The 20,379-nt window shown below is 42.1% G+C and overlaps 1 long non-coding RNA gene across 1 annotated transcript, besides 2 other annotated features; it reads left to right on the top strand.

Annotated features, from left to right (window-relative positions):
* Nucleotides 4,734–5,457: an enhancer, noted in NCBI's record as "OCT4-NANOG-H3K27ac-H3K4me1 hESC enhancer chr10:34062271-34062994 (GRCh37/hg19 assembly coordinates)". NCBI's record gives its function as "activates a minimal SCP1, AML or CMV promoter by ChIP-STARR-seq in naive H9 embryonic stem cells {active_cell/tissue: H9 hESC(naive)}" and the evidence as "EXISTENCE:reporter gene assay evidence [ECO:0000049][PMID:30033119]".
* Nucleotides 5,458–6,181: an enhancer, noted in NCBI's record as "OCT4-NANOG-H3K27ac hESC enhancer chr10:34061547-34062270 (GRCh37/hg19 assembly coordinates)". NCBI's record gives its function as "activates a minimal SCP1, AML or CMV promoter by ChIP-STARR-seq in naive and primed H9 embryonic stem cells {active_cell/tissue: H9 hESC(naive and primed)}" and the evidence as "EXISTENCE:reporter gene assay evidence [ECO:0000049][PMID:30033119]".
* On the top strand, nucleotides 6,120–19,087 carry LINC00838 (long intergenic non-protein coding RNA 838). Its single transcript, NR_038932.1, has 3 exons — nucleotides 6,120–6,617; nucleotides 11,454–13,050; nucleotides 18,225–19,087. It is a non-coding gene; the product is annotated as a long intergenic non-protein coding RNA 838 (long non-coding RNA).
* The last annotated feature ends 1,292 nt before the right edge of the window (nucleotides 19,088–20,379 follow it).

Here is a 20,379-nt window from a genome sequence, read left to right as displayed (position 1 = left end):
AGTCAAAAGATTGAAAAAACTATCTGATTATCCTCCTGGTTTTTTCTATTTTTAGTGTTATTTTACTTTCTTTTCTCTCCATTGAAGAGAAAGTGATTTTCCCAAGCTCAGGAGGAAAGAGTTACCTCCCTACTCTCTCCCATAGTCTCACCTACAACAAGATGAAAAAGTGAAATAATCCCACTTTATAGATTCATGAATTCTGCTTTTGCTTGTGGTGTGATCATCTAAAAATACCTACTTAACTTTCTCATTGGATGTTTAATATAGGCTTATATCAAACTAAAACTCAAGAGAATATGGAAGTACTATACTGTTCAATTCTTTTTTTTTAAATTTCTTAAACTAATGGGCTCAAGTGATCCTCCTGCCTCAGCCTCCCAAAGTGCTGGGATTGCAGGTGTGACATGAGGTCTTGATTGGCCCCAAGAGTTCCTGAAGTGACCCCGGTAGGTGTCTGTTTGCATGACAGGCAGAGGCTAGGTCTCAGCCTCAGTAAAGCATGCCTTGAAGCTCATGGGGGCACATTTCCAAGGCCACCATAATATCTGTCACTCTAATTTCATTCACCCAAGTTCCCAAGGGCTCAAACAGCAGTCCGAGGAAGAAGCTATAGTAAAGACCTGAGTGACAAAGGAAAGAGCTATTTTCCTAACACTCCTATATCACATGCCAGGACTTGTGGCCATGGCCTACGTGATAGCTCAGCCACTGGTGTGGACAGTGGGCACTTTCTCCCTTTATCATTGGGATATGAAACTGCTCCAGCAAAAGTGCCCTTGTGGTACCTTTGCTACATTACTGAGTAGCACACTGGAAGGGCCTTCCTTTAGATGCATTTCCACTGACCACTGCAATCTTTGGGACCTTCTTAGAAGCATTGTGGTTGCAGTAGCACCTTTAGGCATTGGTGGAAGGATCAGTTCTGCTGGCAGGTACCACTGTAGCCTGGTAGCTTTCATGTCCACAGCCACCGATGGCATCTTGACCAAAAGCCAGAGAAAAGGACAGTGGCAGGTGCCACGCAGTAACTTACAGAGCTCAAGCACCCCAGAAATAACCTCTCATGTCCCAGAAAGGAAGATGAGGGTTTGAGGGGACTGGCCATTCTGCAGTTATGGGAGGTCAGAGGAGAGCCAGCACAGAGCAATGCCATTTTGTCATGGCAGAATGATCCTATTGTTATTCCCGGGCTGGAGTGGTGTCACAGAATATGGGCCTGAAAGGCTGTGAATTTCTTGTCTCTCAAGCTAAAAGCAAAAAAATCCTCTTTGAAAATTCAGAGAGAAACTCTTTCAGTGCAGAATTGCTGTCAAAACTGCGTTATCTTGTCAACCAGGGTGTCAATTAAACCGGGCTTGAAGAAGCATGTTCGGAGGTCCCCACCACGCCTGGTGTCTTGGAATTTCGTGTGGCAATCCTCCACATATAGTGCATGCAGCGTTTCTGTCACAATGTGAGAATGGGAATCATATGCTCTGTCTTCCTGAGGGGGAAAAAATATTCTTTAATGTTTTGCAGAAATGACACTGTTTTTCATGATCGGGTGCATCTCACGTCTGCTGTTCGGCTCAATACATTAGATTCACATCCTCCTGGCTGTTTCCACAGGCTGCAGTGGGGAATCAGCATTTTTCTCTGCTATGAGTTTGGAAAGTACGTGTCTATTTCCCTTGAGAAAAGAGAACGAGACTAAACTCTTCTCTCCCGTATTTCCACCTTGCCCTCTGCCATCTCATTTACTGTGTGACAAGTGTGTTAGTTTGGTCTTGAAAACATCTCCCCAGAAATACAAACTTGCCATTGGAATAACGGACATAGCTGAGGTGTCATCAGCATTTTCTTTGCCATCATTTACTGTATAGAAATCAACTTGGTTCTTAATGGGACTTTGCAAGATATAATCTCACAGTACATTTCAAGACAGAAGGGGGCCATATGGTCTATCCAAACCCATCCACCTGTCTGTCTAATGTTGGTATCATGGAATTTTTTTCTTCCTTGTCTAGCTCTTCTTTGAATATCCTCACAGTTGCATTGTTTCATTGTTGCCTTTGGTAGACCATTTCACACCTTAATTATTCTCTGCATAAAGAAGTTGGGTACTTTTTTTTCCCTTCCTAAAGGCTGAAGGGGGAAAAGGCTGACTATGACTAACCTGAATCTTATAATAGCAGGTGGGCAGTTAATTGGGAAATGAAAGCAACCTAACACCAATTTGCAGAAGTGTTCAGATTTCATGAGTAATTGCCATGTAAAAGGTAACTTGGCGGTGGGCTCAGTGAAGCTGAACAGCAGACAGAGCCTAAATATGGCTATGGCATTTCTGACATATGTTCCTTGCCTAGAGGTATAGTAAAAGAAAGGGGTTGTTCCTGGATGTAAACCTTGAATCCAAAGACATAGGGCATTTTTCAAAAAAAAGCAAACACCAATGAGGCCGGGTATTTTCAGTGGAGTCAGATGAGCTCTGTGAGTTGAAGTGACTTTTCTCATCATGGAGGCTGGGGTGTCACGGTTGCAGCATTTGGTTGAGTGCAGGTACAATCACCGGAGGCCAGCTTTCTCTCTCTAACCCAAGAGAATCCCTGCACAATGCAATCTTGAGGAAAGAGCCTGCATTTTACACTGCCCCCACCTTTTTTTTATTTTTATTTTTTTTGAGACAGAGTTTCGCTCTTGTCACCCAGGCTGGAGAAGTTGGAGAGCAGCAGTGCAGTCTTGGCTCACTGCAACCTTCACCTCCTAGGTTCAAGTGATTCTCCTGCCTCAGCCTCCCAAGTAGCTGGGATCACAGGCACGTGCCACCATGTCCAGCTAATGTTTATATTTTTAGTAGAGATGGGGTTTTGCCATGTTGGCCGGGCTGGTCTCGAGCTCCTGACCACAGGTGATCCACCTGCCTCAGCCTCCCAAAGTGCTGGGATTACAGGTGTGAGCCACCGCGCCCCACCCATTTTACCCTTTTTATAGCTATGCAGGCCCTGTTAGTGTCAGAGGTGTTTGAACCAGAGCGACTCCATCTTGAATGGGGGCTGGGTAAAATAAGGGTGAGACCTACTGGGCTGCAGTCCCAGGAGGTTAGGCATTCTAAGTCACAGGATGAGACAGGAAGTTGGCACAAAGTAGAGGTCACAAAGAGAACAACTGTGGTAAAGAAGCTGGCCAAAACCCACCAAAACTGAGACTGCCATGAAAGTGACCTCTGGTCATCCTCACTGCTCATTATACACTAATTATAATACAGTAACATGCTAAGAGACACTCCCACCAGCACCATGACAGTTTACAAATGCCATGGCAACATCAAGAAGTTAAGCTATATGGTTTGAAAAGTGGAGGAACCCTTTTCCGGGAATTGCCCACCCCTGTCTCAGAAAATACACAAATAATCCACCCCTTGTTTAGCATACAATAAAAAAATAACTAAAAGTATAATTAGTCGAGCAGCCCACGCTGCTGCTCTGTCTATGGAGTAGCCATTCTTTATTCATTTACTTTCTTAATAAACTTGCTTTCAGTTTACTCTATGGACTCGCCTTGAATTCTTTCTTGGGTGAAGTCCAAGAACCCTCTCATGGGGTCTGGATCCGGACCCCTTTCCAGTAACATAAGAGTGCCTTGCACATAACTGGTTCTCGATAAATAGAAGGGTGTTTGATGGAAATATGGAAGGTGTGGGCCTTCCAGCCCATCTTGAAGGGTGTATTCAGACTGAAACTTTTGAGTAACCTGTTGCTTGTCCCAGCTCCAAAGATGAGAGATCCTAAGTTTCCTTCTGACTTCCTTCTCCAGTATGTCTTTTCTCCTCCTTCTCCCTAACGTTCTATCCCAGTTTTCCAGCTGGATAGTTAAGTGGTCTTCCCGGCAGAATGCAACTGCACATCTAACTCATATTCCTGAGTAGAGCCAGGAAGAGTTTTACTGAATCCTGTGCCACAGGCTGCCTCATGTGCCGGAGAGCCTTATACCATTCACCAGGCGATCTTGGATGAAGGGCCAGTGAAACAGGAAAGGTCCCCTTGTCCCCCTCACAGGGGGTGCAACAGGGGGAGTAGCTCACTTCTTCCGTGCCTAGCTGCTCAAACCTCTTGGGAAGCATACAAGGTGGGCAGGTTGTGGGGCTCCAACCCCACGACAGCTTCTGGGGTGAATATTTATAGCTCCTGAAGCCCCAGTGGGCGTGTGTTACATACAGAGTGCTCTTTTAATTTTACTCTTTTAGTTTTCCATTTATAGGCTTGTGTTAACCAGCTCAATTACACCCTCTACCTTGTCGCAAAGACAGCAGGCTTTCTGTATTGCGGGTTCTTGCCTTGGTATACCAGAAGAATCGGATCACACCTGGGCTTGGAGAAGGAGCGAAAGGTTTTATTGAGCGGAAGTGGCCCTCTGCAGATGGGGAAGCCGGAAGGGAGCTGGCTTTTTCCTTGGAGTTAGGCCGCTCCACAGCCTGACTCTTCTCCGACCACTCAGGCCAAACTCTGCATCATTGTGCTGGTCAGTGGCCTGCCGGCTTGTCGGTGTCTGTCCGTGTGCTCTTCTGCTAACGTGCCCTTCTCGACGTCCAGCCACTTGTGTCTTCTTCCGGCGATGTGTTCCTCACGATGTCCAGCTACTTGTGTCTGCCTGCTAGGGTATAGGGCCAGGATGGGGGTGTGGCGGGCCAGGGTAGTCTTGGAAATTGCAACATTTGGGCGAGAAGACAGGACTGCCTGTCCTCATCTAGGCCCTTGGGGGTGGAGCCCTAACCGGGGACCACGCCCTCCTCTACCCAGCACTCCCCTTTCCACTTCGGTATCATTTAAAGGGACCATGCTCTTCTCTCCCCAGCACTTCTGTATCACCAGGATGGGGATCCTTTAGATGGGAGAGCTTCGTAAATGCACTCTGGACTGAAAAGCCCAACAGCTTTGGGGCTCAAACTGTCGATGGCCCAGAGGCGAATTTTCTATCCATAGACATCTCCGTGAGAGTGAAGAGATCGAGTCCCTCACTGACTGTGCCCTGTAAACAACTGCTGTATTTGGCTGGGGCCCTGAATTCTGCCATAAGGTGCCCAGGCTCCTGACCAAGTCATAACCAAGACAGGACATAGCAAGCCTCAAGAAAAGGTTACCTTAAGGGAGGCAGGGAGGTGGTCACCAAGACACAGAGAACACGTGTGGACTGAGAAAATTAACTTTAATGGGGGCATTTAAGGCATATGGGAAAGCATTTGGAAGAATCACAATTTTCATGCTGGCTTCCCAAGTCCCTAAGAAAAAAATTCAGAAAAGGTCTCTTCACCATTTGTGAATTGTGAAATAAACACATCTCAAGGGGAGTGTGTGGGTGTGTGTACATATTAATATTCCAGGGGTGGGGGAAATATTGACACGGATGATTTTGGAAGTACTTGCAATTCCTGCCCAACTCAGACTCATCTGAAATGGGTGTGTTTCAAAGGCTCAAAGGCTGCCAGATTCCTTTTGAAAGGAAATGTTTCTTCCCGTTACCTTTCAAAGTCAGCTCGCGGAGTTTAGCCAAGAGCTGTATTTCAATGTGTTGATGTCACTTAACAAGAGGAAGAGGAAGCGTTCCTCTCTGAGTGGGGTTTAGAGGGAGCCAGGAGAGTAACTGCAGCCACGTTAGCAAGGAAATGTGCCTGATGACTTAGCTGGGGCTTTTGTATCTTCCCCATTTACTAACAATTTACTAAATGCCTTCGCTAAAGTGTCTTTTTTCTGCTCCCATTGTTCTATGTAACTGAAACAAGCCAGCATAGCATTGTCATCTAAGTCAATAATGGTCACAAAAGCGCTTTCTCTCCTTCTGCAGCAGGGTGCCTGCAAAACATAAAAGAGGGTAGTGATGCACCCGAGCAAATTACCCTCCCAATCTCATTTAAATAACGTCTTCCCCTCATCTATGCAAAACTCAGATGAATATTTACAACATCCAGGAATAGGTACCACAGGAAAGAAAGAAAGAATAATAATAATAATAATAATAAAAACCCCAACCAACCCAACCCAACCCCGCAAGTGTAATCATTCTCAAAATGCTCCGGAAACAAAGTGTTCTAGCTGTGGTTGCCCGGCAACAGGCCCACTGTAGTATTCTGCCTGGGTACGTGTAAAGTGGAGCCGTCTTTTCTGCACAGAGTGTGCACTATCATCGTAACAGCAGAGACGGAGAGCAAGATGTGAGGAGGTTAAAAGTCAGGGTCAGAAGTTCAGGTTGCTCTGACCCTCAAATCAATTTCAAGCACTGTTTGTGACATTTTCCTGTGTTCCCTCGCTTGATGTTAGTCTTTGCAATGAACCACCGAATCAGACTTCAGGGCTCATGGGACTTTGGGGTTTCAGTAGGGTCAGGTCAATTTCTACCTACCAGTGTACTGTCACCTATGAGGCAAACCATTATCTAGGCGTTTGAGAACCTCAAAGTTTTGAAGCTCTGAGGGGAAAGAGAGAGGATGAAGCGCTGGGGCCCCTGTGTCTTTGGGGCCTGACATAGCTCAACCTGTGGCTTCAGGGGGACCGTGTGCAGCCAGGTCACAGTGGTACCGGAAAGGGATCCTGATCCAGACCCCAAGAGAGGGTTCTTGGATCTCGTGCAAGAAAAAATTCAGGGTGAGTCTATAGAATAAAGTGAAAGCAAGTTTATTAGAAAAGTAAAGAAACAAAAGAATGGCTATTCCGTAGGCAGAGCAGCCCCGAGGGCTGCCGGCTGCCTATTTTTATGGTTATTTCTTGATTATATGCTAAACAAGGGGTGGATCATTCATGAGTTTTCTGAGAAACGGGTGGGGATTTCCTTGAAACTGAGGGGTCCTCCAGCTTTTAGACCGTATAGGGTAACTTCCTGATGTTGCCATGGCATTTGTAAACTGTCATGGTGCTGGTGGGGGTGTCTTTTAGCAGCTAATACATTATAATTAGCATATAATAAGCAACGAGGACTACCAGAGGTCACTTTCATCGCTACCTTGTTTTTGGTGGATTTTGACGGACTTCTTTATTGCAACCTGTTTTACAGCAAGGTCTTTGTGACCTGTATCTTGTGCTGACCTTCTGTCTCTTCCTGTGACTTAGAATGCCTGACCTCCTCGGAATGCACCTGAGTAGGACTCAGCCTCATTTTGCCTAGCCCCTGCTCAAGATAGAGTCACTCTGGTTGGAAGGCCTTTGGCAATAGGATTGGCAACTCAGAGAAAGCTGGTCCCTGGCATGGGCATCTCTCCCAAGGCATTCTTCCAAAGGTATAGGGATCATTTTTTATTCTCCTTTTTAACAAATGTATATGTACAGGGGAAAAAGAGGAAGAAGGAGAAATCACATAAAATAATACGTCCTCATATGGCCTTAATCATTGGTCCTAATAGAGTTATGAAAGCGTGGATACCTGAGGCTGCAGTGTACTCAGACCCACCCCCAACCCCCTCCCCACAGCTGGACATGATACCTAGGGTGGTTCCAAATCTCACAGGACTTTTCATTTTATTTCTAGATCATTTTAAGATGATCTCATGAACCTAAGCAATAGGTGACTTCATTTTTGAGTTTTTTCTTATTTATTGGTTATTAATTTATAATATAATTAAGGAGTTTTAGTCACTACAACTCACAATTATTTGGGGGGAGGGGTTCACATAATTGCTTAATTTGTGACTTATCTGAGCAAAATATTAACAATACCCCTGAAAACTCCCACCTAAAATTTCCCCAAATATCTCTGTGATTAGAATAACTTTCCTGCTCAAAGCTCTTTAGTGAGTACCCCGTTCCTCCGAATAACATTTAAGCCCCCTAGTTTAGCAATTTTGCTGCCTGGCCCTGACCTACCTTTCTAAGGCTTATCTCCCACTACTTCCCTCTGCGAAATCTGGGTTCAATCAAACCAAAAGTGCAACTGGATAAAGCCGAAGCTGCGCAGCAGGGCGTCAGGGCATCTGCCTGCTAGTCAGCTCCCTCCTCATTGACAGTGTGATTGTGGGCAGGCACCCTCTTCCCGTCTCTTGGTCTTCATTTCCTAATAAATGCATTGGAGGAGTGAGACCAGGTGCTTTCTAAGATCTCACACTTTTAGATCCTGGATTCTTCAAAGAGTTTTAGGCTGTTGACCACCCTGTCATTTCAGAAGCTTTCTTCTCTTGGATTTCATGATATTGTTCTCTCTTGGTTTTCTCTCTACTTCTCTAATGCTTCTTTTTAGTTTGTTTCTCATGTAATGCATCCTCTATTCCAGGATGAATGTTGATAAGACCTGTCCTCAGCAATCCTCTCTTTCAATTTTCTGGATGATCTCAACCATGATCACAACTCTGTGTAATGCCCCAGAGCCTATTTCTGTAATCTCCGTCTCCATCTGAGAAGGCCACCCTGAGTTCCAGTTACATGCTCCAACTCCACCAGACTTCTCCAATGGGGCGTCTCAGGCACTCCCATCTTAGCGTTTCTAAGCCTGAACTCATGATCTTTCTCCTCAAACTGGTTGTTCACCATGCTTTACTCCCACATTTTGTTTAGTGATATCTTGCAAGCCACAGACTTCACAGTCATATTAGAATGCTACCTTTCCCTAACTTCCAACAGATACTCTCAGGTAAGTCATCAAAGTCTGGCCATTTTTTATTCCAATTAAATATCTCTTGAGTCTCTCCTTTCTTCTCCAACCCCAGTGTCAATACCCTTGTAGAGACCTGACTGCTCTTCAGGTCTCCTAGCTAGTTTCCCTGCCTTTAGAATGACCAGCCACCCTGAGGCTTTCATTCTGCTGCCAGTGCCATCTGTATAACATGAAGTATGATCAAGCCCTTTCTTTTCTAAAATCTGTTGGTGTTTCGTCATAGCCTATTGTGTGAAGTCTGATATCCTGAGCATGATGTACAAGGCCTTTGTGATTGGTGCTGTCTCATTTCTCTCGATCTGCCCCATGCACCAGGAAGATGTCATTACTTTGAGTTCATGACTGGTCCATGCTCTCTAACACCTCTATACCTTTTCAATGTGGCCCTCTCTGCCTAAAATAATCCTACTTACTCTTCTCCTTCTCTGTGCTTCTCTAATGCCCTAGCCATGCCTCTGTTTTCTGTTGTATTGTTTTTTTCTGTGTGTGTGTGTTTCCCGCCATTGGATTGAAAGCTACCTGAGGCCTAGGACTGCCCTCATTTTTTCACTTAGCTCATTACTGGAAGGAAGCTGGCATTTGTATAATTCTTGAAGGCTGAGAGTGATGGCTCATGCCTGTAATCCCAGCACTTCGGGAGCCCAAGGTGGGAGGGTCGTTTGAGCCCAGGAGTTCAAGGCCAGCTTGGGCAACATAGTGAGACCTTGTCTCTACAAAAGAATTTTAAAAATTAGCCGGGTGAGGTGGCATGTACCTGCAGTTTCAGCTATTCAGGAGGCTGTGGTGAGAGGGTTCCTTGAGCCTGGAAGGTCAAGGCTCCAGTGAGCTATGGTTGCTCCACTGTAAAAATAAAAGAAAAAAATATATATATATATATACACACAAAATTGTTAAGTAAACAGTTGAGTCTGTATGGTTTATTCACTCTCTGATAAATGGGTCTTGCATTTTTCTTGAATGATCTCTCTATTTCTCTTTGACTTTCCATATAATATTTAAATTTGAATATCTCATTCTTTCCTTCTCTAAGCCTTTTCCAAATATTCTAATCTAAAGAAACAACTTCATCTTCAGAAATAACTTATTATCTGTCATGTATTTCATAATTAACATTGCCCGTGTCAGTTCCTGCTCCCCAGGTAAGGTATTTGAAGTGTTAACTTTGTCTTGCCCACAATGATTTGGCAATCATGGTCTTCAGAAAGTACTTTTTTCTGTGTTGATTATTACTGGTGAACCTGGTTTACTGATGCCAGTCTTGTCATGTCTTTTTTTTTTTTTTAAGACAGGGTCTCACTCTGTCACCCAGGTTGGAGTACAGTGGTGTGAACTCAGGTCACTGCAGCCTCCTGGGCTCAAGCCATCCTCTCACCTTAGCCTCTGGAGTAGCTGGAACTACAGGTGTGCACTACCATGCCTGGCTAATTTTTTGTATTCTTAGTAGAGATGGGGTTTCACCATTTTCCCAGGCTGGTCTTGAACTCCTGGGCTCAAGCAATCCGTCCACCTTGGCCTCCCACAGTGTTGGGATTACAGGCATGAGCTACTGTGCCTGGCCATTGTCTTTTCTATTTAGTGCCATTTTTATACCACCACAGAGTGGTCACTTAATATCTTAGCCATAAAAAATGGAGCTGGTACCATTTCTTTTCTTCTCTAAGAGTCTGCTTGCTTCTCTTATTTGTTTGTTTAATATTTAAAGAAATAAAGCAAGGTGTCACAGTTACATTATAGAAAATGTTGCCATGACAAACACTTATATTAAAGAAATTCTAGTCTTATCTGTGCTTCGAAGATATGTCCATTTTAATTAATCTTACAAGGGGAGCTCAGAGAAATTTTGGTTCTCAAAGCAGTAATATCAAAAGACAAACTCCAAATGGGAATGGTTTTGGAAAGCAGGTGACGAGGAATATGTGTTATTAAGATCTACTGGTTGTGTAAGAGCTGTTATTATTCATGATTCTGCTTTATATGCTTAATATTTTCTTCAGAGGTTTAGGCAAAGATTATTGCTGTATTTCTGCAGTCATTGCAAAAACCCAGCATGAAACTCAAGACTAGGAATAGATAAACCTTTAAAAAAAAATAAGGTTTGGGTGAGGATAGGTATCCCACAGTACACTGGACATTTCATAGAACTTATCTGATGCCCTCTTGGGAGACTGTCAGAAATTTTGCAAATATTAGGAGAGTAGACTTTCCGGGGCTGCTTCTGTGCTCCACTTCTGCCTCTAACAAAAAGAAAAAATATAAAATTATGCAATTAAAAAGCTATTAGTTAAGTCCTTTCAGGCCAGAATGGAGCCTGGACTGGAGTTTGGGGTATATGTTTTATTTAGCCCTGAAATTTATAAAACAAAATTTTAGTCTTTGGTGAAACTTACATTCCTAGAAACCCACTGGAAAAAAATAGTTGTTTATCACCTTAAAAATATGCATTATCCTTTTATTTAAGTGCTTTTAATGTGGTGAGCAATATTTTATATCAGTCTCAACTTTTAATTTCATAAAATCCCAACTTTTAATTTCATACAATCCAACTAGTCAAATGCAGCCACCACAACTGAAATTACCTTCTCACCTCTAGCCCCTTAGGTTAAGAAAGTTTACTGGGAGGGTTCAAAGGATGCCTTGGAAGACTTTACTGAATAGAAGATGTGATCAGAAATGGCAAAAGAACTATGTTGGATTCTAATTTGTGGGGTTTGTGATATTTACTAACTTGGTTTGTGAAAATTGGGTCTTGGAACTAAGACTTTCTTATGAGAAATATATCTAACTTTGCTTCCACTAAGTTTAACAGTACAATTAACAAAATCCTGTTACTCCCTTCCCAGCTGATGGCACTAAGGCTGAACCCAGAAGCTGCAGCAGTGGACGGATGATGATCTGAAGAAATGAGATCCCTGATGGGCTTGGAAGTCATGGTTCCTGTAACCATGATGTCACACCCTCGTCCTGACACCGAGATGGGCTGGACACATCTGTCACCCAGGGCAAACAAAATGCTTGGTCTGCATCTTTCAGAAGAAAACTAAAAATCAAGTAATTTCTTAGAAGTTTGCTTGCGTGTGGCTTAAGTCTTCTTCTCCTGTTGAGGAAGGTGTTGAGTTTGACCATGACAGCCCCACCCAGTCCTTGGCTCATCTCACCCATCAAAGAGGATCTGGAGATTCAGAGCTATGCCGTGGAAGACCTTGTCAGAGCACCAGGCCATACTGTGCTGCAGGTGGGGTTCAGGTGCCCAGTGACAACCACCGGGGCCGCTCATCCCTAAACGTCTGTTGAACTTAAAGTTCTACTCAAGACTTTCTACATTAAATACCCTTTCATACAGCAAAATCAGCCATGTTCTGAGATGTGAAACTGCAGCACAAAGTTACTGTGGTCTCCACCTATAGAAATGGAATGTTACTTCATAAAGCCCCAGGCCAAAAAAGAAACCCCAAAACTCTGAAACGACACCCTTAAATTTAACCTGAACATCTGGCCAGCCTCCTCCATCATTGAAACTTCTCCTGAGTGTTGGCATGGATCCTATGTTTCTCCAGCCAGGGAGCTTTGCTCCCCATTCTTGATGGACCCACTGAGTCCCAATTTTCTACATTTTACTTGGGTCATTCCACCACTTTGGGATGCTTTTCCTACTCTGTTGTACTTTAAAAATGTTTCTTCTTTCCTATTCTCAGCTTCACGCATTTGTCTTCTTTCTCAATTCAACTTGCTTAGTTCTCGCTACATCAATTCCTAGAGCCATCCATCTGCACTTCTGAATCATTTAAGTTTTGTTTGGCTACAAGTAATGGAAACCCACTCTGAGTAACTCAAGCAAGAACTGGAATTTATTGGAAGGACAGTGGGATATATCATAAGATCCAAAAAGAATTGAACAAATAAAATTTCAGAGGGAAGAAAAAGGGCAGCTCCAGTGACTTCAGCAACAAGACAACATAAGTCTTTCTAGAGCATAGCTACTAATATTATTCAGCTGCAAGAGCCCCTCCCCATGAGAAACTTGATTGAAAATTCTGATTTCCCACAGAGAAGAATCTGATCGACTCAGTTTAGCTTTGGTTGCCCAACTGCTCAATCTTGCATGAATTATTTCCAGCCAAGGGGACAAGGTGTATTATAGGGACACACCTGCTTTCTCCAAAGAAAAGATCTGGGCATTTCCTGATCATTTCCCTGAGAAGGAGGAATCATTGTGAGCCAAGAAGATACCTCAAGTATAATGAGCTCAGTTACACTTTTTTGATATCTGAGTATTTGGTATGTAGTGTGCATTTTAAAAAACATGTCTCTCTCCAGGACAATGTTAACCTCTTCCACGGTGGAGTGGGGCTATGTGATTTTGTGCTTAATTTACCTAGCTGGTGGGCCTCCAGTAGAGGCTGTAGTCGAGCCAGCTGATACCACATCAGTTCTCCAAAGGTAAGTTTCTCTTGGCTAATATTCCTTCTCTCAACTTAATAAACACCCACTATACACCAAGATACATTGAAAATTTAAAGGTAAATTAGATATGATCACTTTTCTTAAGACATAAAATCTAGTAGATTTCCTATATAATGAATATTTTTTAATTTTTATTTTTAGAGACAAGTTCTCAGTCTATCACCCAGGCTGGAATACAGTGGCAAAATCATAGCTCACTCACTGCAACCTCAACTCCCGAGCTCAAACAATCCTCCTGTCCCTGCCTTCCAAGTAGTTATGACCACAGACACATGTCACCACGCCCAGTTAATTTTAAACAATTTTTTTTTTTTTTTTTTTTTTTGTAGAGACAGGGTCTCACATGTTTCCCAGGCAGGTCTTGATCTCCTGGCCTTAAGCAATGCTTCTGCCTTGGCTTCCCAAAGTGCTAGGATTACAAGTGTGAGCCCTTCACCCAACCTATATGAATAATATTTTAAGGATATTTTAATAAAAAAATACTTTCAAAAAATTATCATTAGACCCATTTTGAAGGTTCTCAGAAGCTGGGCAGTTTCTGCTTGAGTTATCAAGTGGGCTCCACTTTAGGCAAGCTTTTGGAGACTCACTGTAAAGTACAGGACTCTAAGTGACCACATCTCTCAAATACAGTGTTTTTTATTATCTCCTGACATTTGGAGCTTAAGGAAATATACAATGACATGATTTTTTTCCCTCTAACAATCCAAGACAACATTGGAAGACCACACACGTCTCCACTTTATTGACATTTTGCATTGTGCTTGCAGGTGCTATCTTTAGAGGTGTGATGTTGCTCTTGTACTATGTATATAAATGCTTTCTATGACTCAGGAATTCTATTGCATTTACATGAAACTTGTTAGAGTAGAAAGAGACTGGAGTAAGCTAGACTTGGGTTTCAGTCTTTTCAACTTTACAGCTTACTAGCCTCATGACTTTGGCCAAGTTACTTTCTGAGACTTGGTTTCTTTATCAGCAAAGTGGAATAATGATAATACATATTTTACACATATGTGTAATAATATAATATTACACATATGTGTAATAATAATAATACATATTTCCCATAACATTGTTATGGGAAATAAGTATGATAATATATGTAAAAGGGGCCAGGCACGGTGGCTCACATCTGTAATCCCAGCACTTTGGGAGGCCAAGGCAGATGGATCCCATGAGGTCAGGATTTCGAGACCAGCCTGGCCAACATGGTGAAACCCCGTCTCTACTAAAAATACAAAAATTAGTCGTGAGTGGTAGCACGCTTCTGTAGTCCCAGCTATGTTGGAGGCTGAGGCACAAAAATCACTTGAACTTGGGATGTAGAAGTTGCAGTGAGCCGAGATCATGCCATGGCACTCCAGCCCAGGCAATGAAGAGAGACCCTGTCTAAAAAAATTATATCATATATTTTATATATATATATATATATATATATATATATATATACACATACATACACACACACACACACACACACATATATGTGAAAGGGCCTGCCAAATGTGTGTGTGTGTGTGTGTGTGTGTGTGTGTGCGCGTGAGAGAGAGCGAGAGAGAGAGAAAGGACCTGCAAAATAGAAAAATCAGTATATATTTTCTTGCCTCCAGCACAGTAAAACCATAAATCTCCTTCCCTGGGCCTGCATCTCATTATAGATGCCTCCTCTGTGTCCTAGCCTGCAAAGACAAGCAGCTCAGGGAGGATGGGCAGGTGGGTTCCTATTCCTTCCAAGGCAGCCCAGCTTGATAGTATCCAATGATTTCTGAGGCTGCATGGCCATAGGCAGTCAAACTCTGGGTATCTGAACAGAAGGCTGAAACCATAGAATCATTACCCTGTGACTGCTGGCACAGCTTTGTGTATTCTACAGAGGCTTACTATATAGTTTATTTTGACACACAGACAAAGATGCTTAATGTAAGGAACTGCTACAGGTTAATCAATCAATGGCTCCTGTAGTGGTTTTTATTTTTAAAAACAAGTGGATGAATAAACAAATTTGGCCTTGGGATGCCATTCAGCTCAAAGTCAGTGGCAATCACAAATGGCTTTAATAAATGAAAGAGATATTTTGGCATAGCCCATTGAGGCATATGAAGAGTAATGCCCTTGCCAGGATCATAGAGTACATTAGATACTCTACTTTAATTGCTTCTTATGAATGGAAGGGATGTAGGAAATGGAATTTTAATTTGTACATTTAAGTTATGTGATTGAAGTTGAGAAGGTCTTTGTGACCTTATGGATTTGAGAGAAAAAGAAAACTTTATAGGGCATAGCTGAAATTGGCATAAAAGTTATGTCCCATGGCTGACATTGCTGCTGTTTGATGCTTGCTGTCAAATTGTAGAAAAGCAAGACTTGAATCCCAGAGTGATTTTCTATGTGTGCATTTGCTAACAAATAAGGCTGAGTCTAGTTGGAACTTTGGGTTGTTCAGAAACGGTAGAAACATAATCAGTTGTTCTATCTTCCATTGCGAATTATTGGGTTGGTGGAAGCTTAAACTGTTTTTACACCACTTGCTTGATAATCAGACCCAGACTGTATGTTCTGGAAATATACTGACATATTCTATGACAAGCCTTGAGGGCTTCTAGCATGAATTAAGATGAAAACCCTAGAGTGGTATTGACATTTCATTTTTGGAAAAGCCAGAGAAGGCATAAGGAACATGGCTGGATGGCAGGCTGGGGTAGCTTCTTCACTTGGGCTCTGTTATCATTTTCCACAGCACTGTTTGCTGCCACACCCTGAAATGCATTCTTTGATGGTAGAACTTGCCCCCCATTTAAATTCCATGTGCCTATGACTTATTCGAAGGATGCCCTGAGTGCATTGTGTTTACAGCTCTTGTGCAGTCAGATCTCTGCCTCGTCTCCCGTAATTGTCAACCATCTTGGTTGCCCAATGAGAAGCAGCTTGATATGTGCATCAAGCCAACTCATTTTCTCTGTTTTCATGCCTAATTCCCCAAAATGAGTTTATTCCTCACAGTATATAAATAGATATTTGATATATATCTGACATATCATATGCCTGAAAAATCTGACATACATGTACAACAATGAAAATAAACATTAGACCAAAAATAAATAAATAAAAATAAAAAAGAGATAGGGCTTTTTCCTAGCTAATTATGTGATCCTGAGTAAATAAATAATGTGTCTTCTTTGGACTTCTCATTTCTCATCTTTAAAATTCATAAACAAAAAAGTGAAAAGAAAAAATAAAAAAGAAGAAAAAAATTAAAAATCCACAAACAAGGTATAAAAATAAAAATAGATAATCTGTAAAAAGTATCTGAAAACTATTAAGGCCTATATAAATGGTGGATGTCTTAGTCTGTTTTGTGTTGCTATAAAACAGGGGTGTTCAATCTTTTGGCTTCCCTGGGCTACATTGGAAGAAGAATTGTCTTGGGCCACACATAAAATATACTAAAATTAATGATAGCTGATGAGCTAAAAAAAAAAAAAAAATCACAAAAAAAAATCATAATGCTTTAAGAAAATTTACAAATTTGTGTTGGGCCATATTCAAAGCCATTCTGGGTTGCCTGTGGCCTGTGGGCTGTGGGTTAGATAAGCTTGCTATAAAAGAATATCTCAGGCTGGGTAACTTATAAAGAAAAGAGGTTTATTAGGCTCATAGTTCTGCAGGCAGTACAAGAAGCATGGTGCCAGCATCTGCTACTGGTGAGGGCCTCAGGGATCTTCTAATCATGGTGGAAGGTGAAGGGGGAGCAGGCGTCACATAGCAAGAGAGGAGAAAAAGAAAAAGGAGGAGGTGCCAGGCCCTTTTTAACAATCAGTTCTCATGGGAACTCATAAAGCAGAGATGGCAACAAGCCATTCATGAGTGACCCACCCCCATGACACAAACACCTCCCACCAGGCCCCACTTCCAACACTAGGGGTCAAATTTCAACATACGATTTGGAGGGAACAAATATCCAAACGATATCCAGGGGCAGTATTTTAGTACTTGCTTTGAATGGAGCATATCACTAGGAAAGATGAAAAAATGAAAGACACAGTACCTGCCTTCATGAGATTGGTAATTTCCACAGGAATATCACACATATACACATATAAGAATTAGCCATGGGAGTCATTATATGCTCACGCATATAATGTAGGCAGGTGGCCTCCACCATGATCATAGTTCAAAACAATTGAAATCTTATAAACATTAAATTGTACACAAGCGTAAGGTGTTATTATTAACGATAAACATGATCATCATTTTACCATTTCCATATGACACTGATTATTTTAGAGATTGTTGCCATCTTTCTTGATGTCCTAGATTAGGTTCAAGATAAACCTACGTACATATCATTTATTTAATGCCTTTATATATCTTGCCTACCACTATATCCCAATACTTAAAACAATGTCTGAAGGTATGTCATGGAATGAATGGATGAGTCAGTTAATCAATCGATGAGAACAGAAGCTGCTTTTTATTTGGGCCCACCCATGTACTTTGTAATTCTGGAGAAAAAAATAAAACTGGTCTGGACACACACACACACATATTAGCTTCATCATACAAAAAGACATATCGGCATTGAAGACAGCAAGTACAGGGGCCTGGTAGGTATCTGAAAAACCTGTCTAGATAACTGTTGATCTCCCGCATCCATTGAGAACCATTAGTCTAATGTACCAAGGATTCTGTGTCTCTACCATGGTGGAGCAGGGAGATGGAAACCTTTCATGGACAGTTTCCGGCCTTCTAACTTTCTCTGATTCCTTACAGCCACCTAGAGCTCATGCTATTAAGACACTTGCTTAAGGTTACTATGTGAATTTAGGTCTGATTGAATCGTTGTTTTAACCAGGATATTGTTCTAAAAGCAGTTGGGGGGATGTAAAGCAAAATCTTAACCCATCGGTGTTCACCTAATGCTGGTCTTGATCAGTCTAAATGGAGTTGTTTCCCAGGAAGATAAACTACTCTAATCAGTTTCAATGCAATAGTTAACCCCTCAGGCCAGAGCATATGGTTGTCATTGTGCAGCTGCGCTGATAGAGTAGTTGGGCCCTTCTGAATGTTTGTCCCATTTTTACATAATTGCTGACCACCCATAATCTGCAAGGAATAATCAATTTTTTCTTTCCTTCTGATTGTCTAAGGAACAAAAGCTGCCCTTCCTTCCTTATTGCAAAGTTTGACAAAAAGCAAAACGTGAAGAATAAAAGCGACTTGCATTGTCTAACATCTACCGCAGTGTTTGAGCTGCAGCTGCTCCTCCTCCCCTGATTGTTTTCAAATATTTCTTCAAAAAAGGCATTAAAGAAAAACACAAGATATTGCACAGGGAACCAAAACAAATCACAATCTTCAAGGACAAAGCATTGCAAAATGGCTTACATCCCCAAATGGGAACAGATATGGTTGGAAATTAAAACAATCTTTTTTATTTTAAGCGGAAATGCTAGCAGATGCCACAAGAAACATATGGAACTCGCCACAGACAAATAGGGAATGCTTTCTGCGTGTGGAAGTAGAGCAAAGGGAGTGACCACCTCTGACTGTCAGGGGGAACCATCAGCTCGAACTGTTTGCTATGGCAGGAGGGAGTTTGCAGAGTCCGGAGTCCTGCCCTCATGAAAAAGCTTTAACGGTCTTGACTGAGTAATTTAAGTCATTCTTGTCAGGGAGTTTCAGAACACTATGCACAATTATATTTATTTCACAATGCATTGATTCCAGATATCTTTTTAAATGTGCTTACCTCTGTGTGCGTTGTTACCTGTTCCCTCTTTGAATCTCTGAATGAAACAAAATAAATAGGAAAAAATGGAGACATAGAAGCATTGTCCACAAGGCATCTCCCACTCTAGAGGTCTCCCAGCCCCGTGCTAGCTTGTTAATTTATTATCGCTTGTCTGTCAAACAAGGAAGATATAATTTGCCACACAACATGTTTTCCTAAAGCAATGTTTTTGTACAATTTCCTGATTTCCAAAAATATGACCAATGATATTCTGGTTGAGTTTTGTTGTTGTTGTTGTTGTTGTTTTAATTTCTCTGAAAATGGCAGCGATATAGCAATCATTCCCTTCCCCATGTACCACGTGGAATAATTTTACTGTGAGACTCAGAGAAGGCAATCACAAGCCATCGTTCCTTAAGTAGTATTTATCCTTCCCAAATAGTTCACTGGGGGGCGAGACAGGAATAAAATGCTTTCTATATACAAAAGTATTGTTTCTAAAGATGAAAAAAGCCTGAAATCCTGACTGACATTCAAGTTGGAGGTGCTGTGAATATGTGGAAAAATAGGATTTTACACAGTGACACCACCAATAAGCGTTCTGAAAGGCATGCTTGCAATGAAAGAGCTCCGTTTGGAACAACCCAGATTGTGGGCTAAAATGGTCTCCATGTGGCAGAGTATATTTGTGAATGAAGTGCCTGTCAATGAGGATAAATCAATTTTAACAGCTCATTTATTGATGAAACCAAGTCTAGTCTCAGCAGTTAAAGTGCTTTCTTGGAACGAGAACTAGAGGATTCATCTGTCTCACCTTAACGGATGAAAGAAAAGCTTCTCATAAAAAATGTTATGGCTCCTCTGCCACTGGAGCTTGGATGAGCTAATATTTGATAATTAGTTAACAGGGCAGTTGGGAAACTTAGAATGCCTGCTCTTTCCCATGCTTGTTGGATTCTGTGGAGTAAGGATCATTCAAATATGCCTAAAAATGAATGCTGTAATGGTTGTATTCTGGAATTATTTATCTTTCTAACTCCGCCTAACTTCTTTAACTCTATTTTTGATTTGACGACTCTGGTTTATTTACCATCCCAACACTGTGCCTGGCATTTTCCAGGCCTGAACTCACACACAGCTCATGGGAATGGCACCCCATGGAGTTGCGCAGTGCACAGCTGGGTGCACTGGCCCTGTATAGGTCACCTCCTCCCTGAGTCTGGAGACCTACTCGTCTTCCTTCCTAGTTGAAGTCCTGCTCTTTCCGCTCCTGGTTCCAGCTCTTCTGTGAAGCCCTTCCCCACTCTAACAGAAAACTCTTCTCTTGTATCTATGATGACCTCAGTCACTACTTGGAATTGACCATGTTTTGTTAGTTGTATACATGTGTCTGTTGAGAGACATGAGGTGATTGGAAGCTTCCAGGCAGAGTTGGAATGCTGTTTTCACTTCCCATAATGCACAAGTGTCTGCCGCCTTGATTACTGGCACTATGCCAAAAATCGAGGCATCGTTCTTGATCTTTCTCTCTTTATTACTTGCCTTTCTTCAAAGAACAAGTCCAGGCAGCT

The sequence above is a fragment of the Homo sapiens genome, chromosome 10 (genome assembly GCF_000001405.40).
Source record: "Homo sapiens chromosome 10, GRCh38.p14 Primary Assembly".
NCBI lineage: Eukaryota > Metazoa > Chordata > Mammalia > Primates > Hominidae > Homo > Homo sapiens.
This window is presented reverse-complemented; position numbering and strand designations above follow the sequence as displayed.